General features: G+C 49.4%; 1 protein-coding gene across 8 annotated transcripts in view, besides 1 other annotated feature; it reads left to right on the forward strand.

The window, feature by feature from the left end:
- The window catches only part of MFN2 (mitofusin 2), a 33065-nt gene extending 30063 nt beyond the window's left edge, over window positions 1–3002 (forward strand). For all 8 annotated transcript variants that reach the window (XM_047436154.1, XM_047436149.1, XM_005263543.4 and 5 more), the window contains one exon: window positions 990–3002. In XM_047436154.1, the coding sequence (XP_047292110.1) occupies window positions 990–1059 (70 nt within the window). In that variant the 3' untranslated portion in view covers window positions 1060–3002. The remainder of the gene's footprint in view (window positions 1–989) is intronic.
- Window positions 8652–8701: an enhancer, noted in NCBI's record as "active region_186". NCBI's record gives its function as "activates an Ori minimal core promoter by ATAC-STARR-seq in GM12878 lymphoblastoid cells {active_cell/tissue: GM12878}" and the evidence as "EXISTENCE:reporter gene assay evidence [ECO:0000049][PMID:35858748]".

Genomic DNA, 8728 nt, shown 5'->3' on the forward strand with positions numbered 1-8728 from the left:
ATGAAGAGGGCATAGCCCCCCATTTACCCACAGAGAAGCTGGTTACTTGGCTGGGGACTGGCAGAGCTGGGATTGGAACTCAGATCTCCATGGGGTCTCTGTGGAGCTTTCATTAATAATTTGCTGGAAAGAACATCAGTCTGAGGAGTCTGGAGTCCTGGGTTCTCTCCAGCCACTCATGTTTGGCCCAAGCTCTTAACTCTCCTGTGTCTCATTATTTTCATCTGTAAAATGGGAGTAAGATTTCATGACACAGCTGCATGACTGAATGTAAAAGTGCCCTGCAAAAGTCCTCGGCCTGCCCAGCTCATGATAACATCAGCACACGGGGACCCTGCAGAAGTCCTCGGCCTGCCTAGCCCATGATAGCATCAGCACACGGGGACCCTGCACTTCCTGCCCTCGCCCCTGACGTCAGAGTCTGCAGGGTGGCAGAGCCAGAGGGGAGATGGATCAGAGGGTGTCAGCTCCAACCCTCACCGGATCACTGGGCTTTCCCTGCCCTCGACTGCGGATGTGCCCCCCCCGCACCCCCACCTGGGGACAGCTGCTTCCTAGGGACACACTGCTTGCCCTCTGGGGACTCTCAGAAAGGGGGAATGGGGGGAACTGCTGCTTGTCAGCCACAGTGACACAGCTGAACCTGGAAAGGGTCTCCTGTCAGCACCTCAACCCCTTGCTTGGCAAGCAGGGAAACTGAGTTCCCGACAGCTCAGGGACTTGCACATGGTCCTGGGTGAAGGAAACACAGGGCTTGAGAATCAGAAAAGCCTAACTTGTAGCTCCCTGGCTTATTAGCCGTGTGGCCTTGGGAAGTTATTTAACCCCTCTGGGCCTCCTTTTCCCCATCTGTGAGACAGGGATAAACACGATTGTTGGAGGATGATGTAAGGGTGTGTGTCAAGCGTCCTTAGGATGGTGCCTGGCGGGTAGTCCTAATACTGCCTATCATCAGCTATCATGGTTACAAAAGAACCATTTCTTTGCAGGAATAAAGCCGGTTGGTTGGACAGTGAGCTCAACATGTTCACACACCAGTACCTGCAGCCCAGCAGATAGTGGGCACCTGAGGCGGAGTCTGCGTGGAGAGGGGCGGTGCTGCCAGCCCTAAGTGCCATGTGGGCTCCCCCAGGGGCACGTGTGGCTCCTGCCCCCTGGCCACTGCCAAGAGAATGAAGCACCCAGTCTCGTACCATTTTGAGCCCTCCAGCACTACTTATTTTCCCCCACCTTTGCCTGCTGTTGCTGGAAGAGCTGGCTCATACCCCCAAAGGACACTTTCAGCGACAGCTATGGACAGCATGGTACCAAGGAGTTAAGTTGAGGCTTTTTCCAGCTTTCTCTGGTTCATTTGATTGCTTGATAAGGCCTCAGGATCTCAGCATTGCACAATGCCTCATGGAAGCCTTTGAGGGTATCACACAGACACCCCCACCTTCCTCCAGCCTGTGCGCACCTGCCCTCCTTGCAGCCCAGCACACCTGCAGGTGTAAGGGACGATTGGAGTTTCTTCCCAGAGAGTCTGTCCCAGAAGGACTGTGGCTTGTGTGTGTCCATCTCGCCTGTTGGCTCAGTGCTTCATCCCATTTGCAGAGCCTCAGACACGTCTTGGTGGTGAGGCTCAGTTACCCCTGGGCTTAGGCTGAGGCGGGCCCTGTGCTGGGGGTGGTAGAAAGGATGCTGCTGAGGCAGCTGGAGGAGTGGGAGTAGCTCAGAGGGGAGGGCTGTTGGATGTATGGGGAGCTGGCAGAGCAGGTGGCAGTCACTGGGACAAGGAGGGACTTGCCTCTCTTCTCATTATTGTGTCCTTTGCTTTAGTGTCAGTCCTGGACTTGTGCAGGCCTGTTTTGTGTAGATCTGTTTTGGAAGATGGCATGGTCTAGGTGGTTGAAGGATGTAGTAGAAGGATGGATGGTGGAAGGTGGGGACGTTGGTGGCTGGCTGAGGTGCATGGGCCCCACACAGGACAGCTGGAGAATGGGCCGTCCACTTGGCCTCGTTCTGCGAGGGGCTCATGGGTCTGAGAGCCCCCACCCACTAGGCTTGATTGCATCCCTGTTGTGCCCTTTAAGAGACATGTTTCCACCCCACCCCCAACCTTGTCCCAAGTGCCCTGGACTAAATTTCCTGTGCCAGTGACTGCAGTTGGCCAAGGGACAATGTGGAAAACCCAGTGTCCATCTTTCCACCCTCCCTGATCTCCAGAACCTTCGACTGACCCCCTTGTCTTTATGCTGATGTTGAGTTTTGGGATTGTTACTGGTTGAAGTGGGGGCAGATGCCTGTCACCAAGGTGTTGACTGTGTGAGAAAAGCAGTTTGGGTGACAAATCCTGTGTGGCACAAGTTGGATCGCTTCCTAGAAATAAGCAACACCTCTCCCAAAAAGCAGCCCACAAGGCAGGGGCCCAGCAGCCCAGCCATCACTCATCTTTGAGGAAATGAGTTGGTAGCCTCTGTGCACTGTTTGGTGGCCACATCACAGGTGATGTCCTGTTCACATACCTGCTTGTATTTAAAGCCCTCAGTCTGTCCTGTTGTGTGGGGCGAAGTGATGGACTCTGCCAGGTGGACATGCTGTGGGTGGATGTTCCCGGCGTGTGCCGGGCCTGAATGGACAGGGGCCACTTCACAGCATGTCAGGGAAAATCACTGTCACACAATTCCAATGGATTTTGTGCTCTTTTTGAAAAAAAAAAATTCTTTAGCGTAAACATGAATTTTTTTTCAATGTAGCCCCTGGGGAATGAATGAAATTTTGAGCTTCTTCAATACGTAAAATTAAATTTATACCACTGAGGGAGAGACCCTTTCTGAAAGAAGTATGGCCAAAAGCACTTTAATGCTGCTGACATTGTTGTTTTTATGTTCATTTGCTGGAGCGCAAGACGTGCTGACACAGTGAGTTTTCTCTGATGTATTTAAGGTGATGTATTTGCTTGAGTTACTCCTGTATCATTGCTCATAATATTGGAAACTAAAATAAAACCTAGTTGGAAATCCTTTGTGAGATCTGTCTTTTTGGGTTCTTGTACAAACTCCTCTTTGACATGGCCAGCTGTATTCTGAAGTGACCATAACTTTGGGGAAGTTCCCACTATAATCTGGCTCCTTATTCTTGGAAGGAATTTGATACTCTCAAAAGAACAGATGGTTTAACTGATCTTTAAGGATCAGGAAATCGAGACTGATTTCTTTACAGATTTCTCTGTAACTCCAGACCATTTTTCACTTAAAAAGTAAATGACTCACTGTTCCATCCTGCTTTGCCTTCTGAGAATTTGGTTGCCACTATTCTTTTTTTTTTTTTTCTTTTTTGAGATGGAGTCACGCTCTGTCGCCCAGGCTGGAGTGCAGTGGCACGATCTCGGCTCGCTGCAAGCTCCGCCTCCCGGGTTCAAGCAGTTCTCTGCCTCAGCCTCCCAAGCAGCTGGGATTACAGGCGCCGACCACCAGGCCTGGCTAATTTTGGTATTTTAGTAGAGACAGGGTTTCATCATCTTGGCCATACTGGTCTCAAACTCCTGACCTTGTGACCCACCTGCCTCGGTCTCCCAAAGTGCTGGCATTACAGGTGTGAGCCACCGCTTTTTTTTCTTTTTTTTTTTAAGGGTCCTCAGGAGTAGATACAGGGGTAGTCAGTCAGTTTCCCCGCCCCTACAGCTGTCCTCTTGGCTCTGGTGCTGCCCAGTGTCCGCCCTGCTCGCCCACAGAGGCCACAGCTCAGCTGATAGCAACCTCATCCTTCCAGATTCCCAGGCTACACACTTGGGGCATCACCCTCGAGTCCACGGTCACACGTGCTGCACCAAATCTGTCACCTGCTGTCTTCCAAGTCTGTTGACCCTGCCCAGTTTCCTCACCTCCATCATAACCATCAGCCCGGATCTAGGTTCCTGTTCCTGCCTTGTCCCCGCCTATCCTCGCCATCTTGTGGCTGTTTCAAGGCAGCAGCCAAAGACTTTCTCAGGTAACAAAAAAAAAATGAATCATTACCTTTTTTTTTTTTGCAATCCACAAAACAAGTAGTTTCTGTCATTAACAAGATGTTATGTACAACCCACTAAATTGTTCACGACAGCATCATCCCGGGTGATGAGCCATAGTTTGAAAAAGGGCCTTCTTGCCTTATGCAAATGCTGCTTAGTTATTCCCAGTCAAGGCCAGCCTCATTCCTGTGCTTTCTCTGACTACCTCATCTGTCCACTGGCGAATCTGAGAGGCTGGAAGTTTTAGCCCTCTGGTAACAATGTCCCTATTTAATCACAAAAAGTAGGTAGTCAGGAATGTTCCACTGTGTCCCAAGCACTGGGGTGACAGCCCAGGCAGCTCTCTCGGAGAGCATCTGGCTTCATAATGTGGCCTCAGAAGCAGGGCCCTCCTCGCAGATGTCAGCTAAGTTGTTCACCGTGTCCTCAAGTGGATGGTTTCCTGTGTCTAAGTGGGACTCTTAGGCTTGAGATAAGAACAGCGAACTTTGAGAGTTTAGTATGTCAGACATTTCATACGCATGAGCCCTAATCTCAAAATCCAATGGTCTATTTTCCCTAATTTCCTCAAATGAGGAAGTTCATTAATTCAGCAAAATATTTGTGCACTTACTATGTGCTAAGCATGGTTCTAAGCACTGGAGATATAGCAGTGACTAAGGTGGATAAAAATCTGCCCCTGGGGCCAGACGCGATGGCTCACGCCTGTAATCCCAACACTTTTGGGAGGTGGGCGGATCACGAGGTCAGGAGTTCAAGACCAGCCTGGCCAACATGGTGAAACCCCATCTCTACTAGAAATACAAAAATTAGCCAGGCTTGGTGGCGTGCACCTGTAATCCCAGATACTAGGGTGGCTGAGGCAGGAGAATTGCTTAAACCTGGGAGGTGGGGGTTGCAATGAGCCGAGATCACGCCATTGCGCTCCAGCCTGGCAACAGAGGGAGGCTCCCTCTCAAAACAACAACAACAACAACAAAAATCTCACTCACTGATTAGTAACCTTTTTCAGTTACAAAGAAAAACAACATACTCGCTAAACTCCCTAACATCAGGAGCCATCAGGCAAATTATCTCAAGTCTTGATTTACAAACCAAACCCTTATGCCTCTGATTACACAGGGGACCGGTCTGACAAACTTTTTTTTTTTTTTTGAGGTAGGTTTTTGTTGGCTGGAGTGCAGTGGCGCAATCACGGCTCACTGCAGACTTGACCTCCCAGACTCAAGTGATCCTCTCACCTTAGCCTCCCGAATAGCTGGGATTAAAAGTGTGCGCCACCATGCCCGGATAATTTTTTGTTTTTTTGTAGAGACGAGGGATCTCACTATGTTACTCAGGCTGGTTTCGAACTCCTGATCTCAAATGATCCTCACACCTTGGCCTCCCAAAGTGCTGGGATTATAGGTGTGAGCCACCATGTCTGGACACAAATATTCTTTTTCTTTTTTTAATTTAATTTTTCAAATAGAGAATGTATGTTGGCTGGGCACAGTGCCTCATGCCTGTAATCCCAGCACTTTGGGAGGCTGAGGTGAGAGGATCGCTTGAATTCATGAGTTTGAGACCAGCCTGGGCAATCTGGCAAAACCCTGTCTCTACAAAAAATACAAAAATTAGCCCAGCATGGTGGTGTGCACTGGTAGTCCCAGCTATTCCGGGGGCTGAGGTAGGAGAATCACTTGAACCCAGGAGGTGGAGGCTGCAGTGAGCCGAGATTGCATCACTGCACTCCAACCTAGGCAACAGAATGAGACCCCGTCTCAAAAAAAAAAAAAAAAAATAGATGGGATCTTACTGTGTTGCCCAGGCTGGCCTCTAATTCCCAAGCTCAAGTGATCCTCCTGCCCCAGCCTCCCAGAGTGCCGGAACTACAGGCATGAGCCATCACACCCAGCCAATAAACATTCTTTTCTGATAAGCAACTGCAGAACTTAAGCCAGTTTCAGCCAGCTTACAGAAGCTGTGAACAACCTGTTTAGCCAATGCACATGAGCTCACCTCCTCTCATAAATATGTATACAGCTTTTCCCTCAAACCTGCTAAATATGTATGAATATGGGCCCTGTGAGGCATAAAACCCAACCTGTCCTTTCTCTCTTGGAAGAGAGCACCTTCAGTGCATGCTGCAAACCATCTCTTCCTGGTTTGCAAACAAGTATCAACAATAAAGTGCTCCTTTCTACTATTTAGCCACCCTGGTGATCTTCTAGACAACATTATGCGTATTTCTGCTAGGAACATTAGTGTTCAAATCTCTGTGTAGGCAGATGTTTTCATTTTTTGTAGGTAGATATCTCAGGCTGGACTTGCTGGGCCATATGGTAAATTTATGTTTAACTTCTACAGATTTTGTGAAGTGGTTATACTGTCTTATATCCCCACCAGTAGTGAATGTGGGTTCATATATATATATAGTTTTTTTTTTTTTTTTTTTTGAGACAGTCTTACTCTGTCACCCAGGCTGGAGTGCCGTGGCACAATCGCGGCTCACTGCAACCTCCGCCTCCCAGGTTCAAGCCATTCTCCTGCCTCAGCCTCTCGAGTAGCTGGGATTACAGGTGCCCACCACCACACCCGGCTAATTTTTTTCTATTTTTAATAGAGACGGGGTTTCACCATGTTAGCCAGGCTGGTTTCAAATTCCTGACCTCAACTGATCCGCCCGCCTTGGCCTCCCAAAGTGCTGGGATTACAGGCCTGAGACGTCGTGCCCGGCCTCATTTCATTTTTTAGAGCATCACAAACTACCTCTCCAGCTCATCTTGCTAGAGTTACTGCATAATCCATGCATTCCTGCCAAGGATCAGCCATCTTCTTGAGTCGGAGGGCTTCCTGCTAGCTCGGTGCCTGGTGTTATCACCCTCGGCTCTTCTGGAGGTAGAGGGGCTACCTATCTTCTTTTCATTCTTTTTTTTTTTTTTTTTTAATTTGAGACAGAGTTTCACTCTTGTTGCCCAGGCTGGAGTGCAATGGTGCGATTTTGGCTCACCACGACCTCCGCCTCCCGGGTTCAAGCGATTCTCCTGCCTCAGCCTCCCGAGCAGCTGGGATTACAGGTATGCGCCACCATGCCCGGCTAATTTTGTATTTTTAGTAGAGACGGGGTTTCTCCATGTTGGTCAGGCTGGTCTGGAACTCCCGACCTCAGGTGATCCGCCTGCCTGGACCTCCCAAAGTGCTGGGATTACAGACGTAAGCCACCGCGCCCAGCCAATTTTTGTATTTTTAGTAGAGACGGGGTTTCGCCATGTTGCCCAAGCTGATCTTGAACTCCTGACCTCAGGTGATCCACCCGCCTCGGCCTCCCAAAGTGCTGGGATTACAGGCGTGGGCCACTGCGCCCGGCCCCAGTTTTTCTAAGTTATATAGTTTAGGTTTCACAACTAGATCTATGATCCATTCTAGGTTAATTTTTGCATATGGGTTTCTTTTTTTTTTTTTTAGGATGAGTGTGTGGATATCCAATTATACCTACAACATTTGTTGAAGACACCATCTCTTCTTGTTTTCCCAAGTTTCCACACACATTATTGATAAAATAAATTTTTTTGGGGGGGGTGCTGGGTGTCGCTGGGCTGTAACTCCTTACCTCAAGCCATCTGCCCACCTCGGCATCCCAAAGCGCTGGGATTACAGGCGTGAGCCACCGCCCCGGGCCGAAGGCATTATCCTTTCTCCACTGAATTGCACTTTCATTTTTGTCAAAAATTAATTGCTCACATATCGGAACTCTATTCTGTTGCATTGATCCATTTGTCTACCTGGACGCCAATACCACACTTTCTTTCTTTTTTAAATTAATTTATTTATTGAGACAGGGTCTCTCAGTCAGGGTGGAGTGCAGTGGTGCAATCAAAGCTCACCACAGCCTCAGCCTCTTGGACTCAGGTGATCCTCCCATCTCAGCCTCCCGAGTAGCTGGACTACAGGTACGTGCCTGGCTCATTTTTTGTAGAGACGGGGTTTTGCCATGTTGCCCAGGCTGGGTATCTTTTTTTTTTTTTTCTTTTTTGAGATGGAGTCTTGCGTCTTGCTCTGTCATCCAGGCTGGAGTGCAGTGGCGCGATCTCGGTTCACTGCAATCTCTGCCTCCCTAGTAGCTGGGTTCAAGCGATTCTCCTGCCTCAGCCTCCCTAGTAGCTGGGATTACAGGCGCCGGCCACCTCGCCCGGCTAATTTTTGTATTTTTAGGTTTACTGGCGTGAGCAACCGCGGCCGGCCCCAATACTACACTTTCTTGTTTACTGTGTAGTCCTTATCTTCTGGCGCAAAGCGGGCACTCGCTAAAAACCTGAATGAAAGTATAAAGCAGGCCGGGCGCAGTGGCTCATGCCTGTAATCCCAGCATTTTGGGAGGCCGGGGCGGGCGGATCACGAGGTCAGGAGTTCGAGACCAGCCTGGCCAACATAGTGAAACCCTGTCTCTACTAAAAATACAAAAAAAAAAAAAAAAAAAAAAAAAAAAAAAAAAAAAGCCGGGCATGGTGGCGCTCGCCTGTAGTCCCAGCTACTCGGGAGGCTGAGGCAGGAGAATCAATCGCTTGAACTCGGGAGGCAGAGATTGTGGTGAGCCGAGATCGCGCCACTGCACTCCAGCCTGGGCAACAGAGTGAGACTCCGTCTCCAAAAAAAAAAAAAAAAAGAAAAGTATGAAACGATGAGTACAATGAGTAGCCAGCCGCCTGCCCCACCTACCCCGCCGCTCCGGACTGCCGCCTGCGCCGAGCCTAGGCCGCC

This window comes from Homo sapiens, chromosome 1 (genome assembly GCF_000001405.40).
Source record: "Homo sapiens chromosome 1, GRCh38.p14 Primary Assembly".
In the NCBI taxonomy this organism is placed as follows: domain Eukaryota; kingdom Metazoa; phylum Chordata; class Mammalia; order Primates; family Hominidae; genus Homo; species Homo sapiens.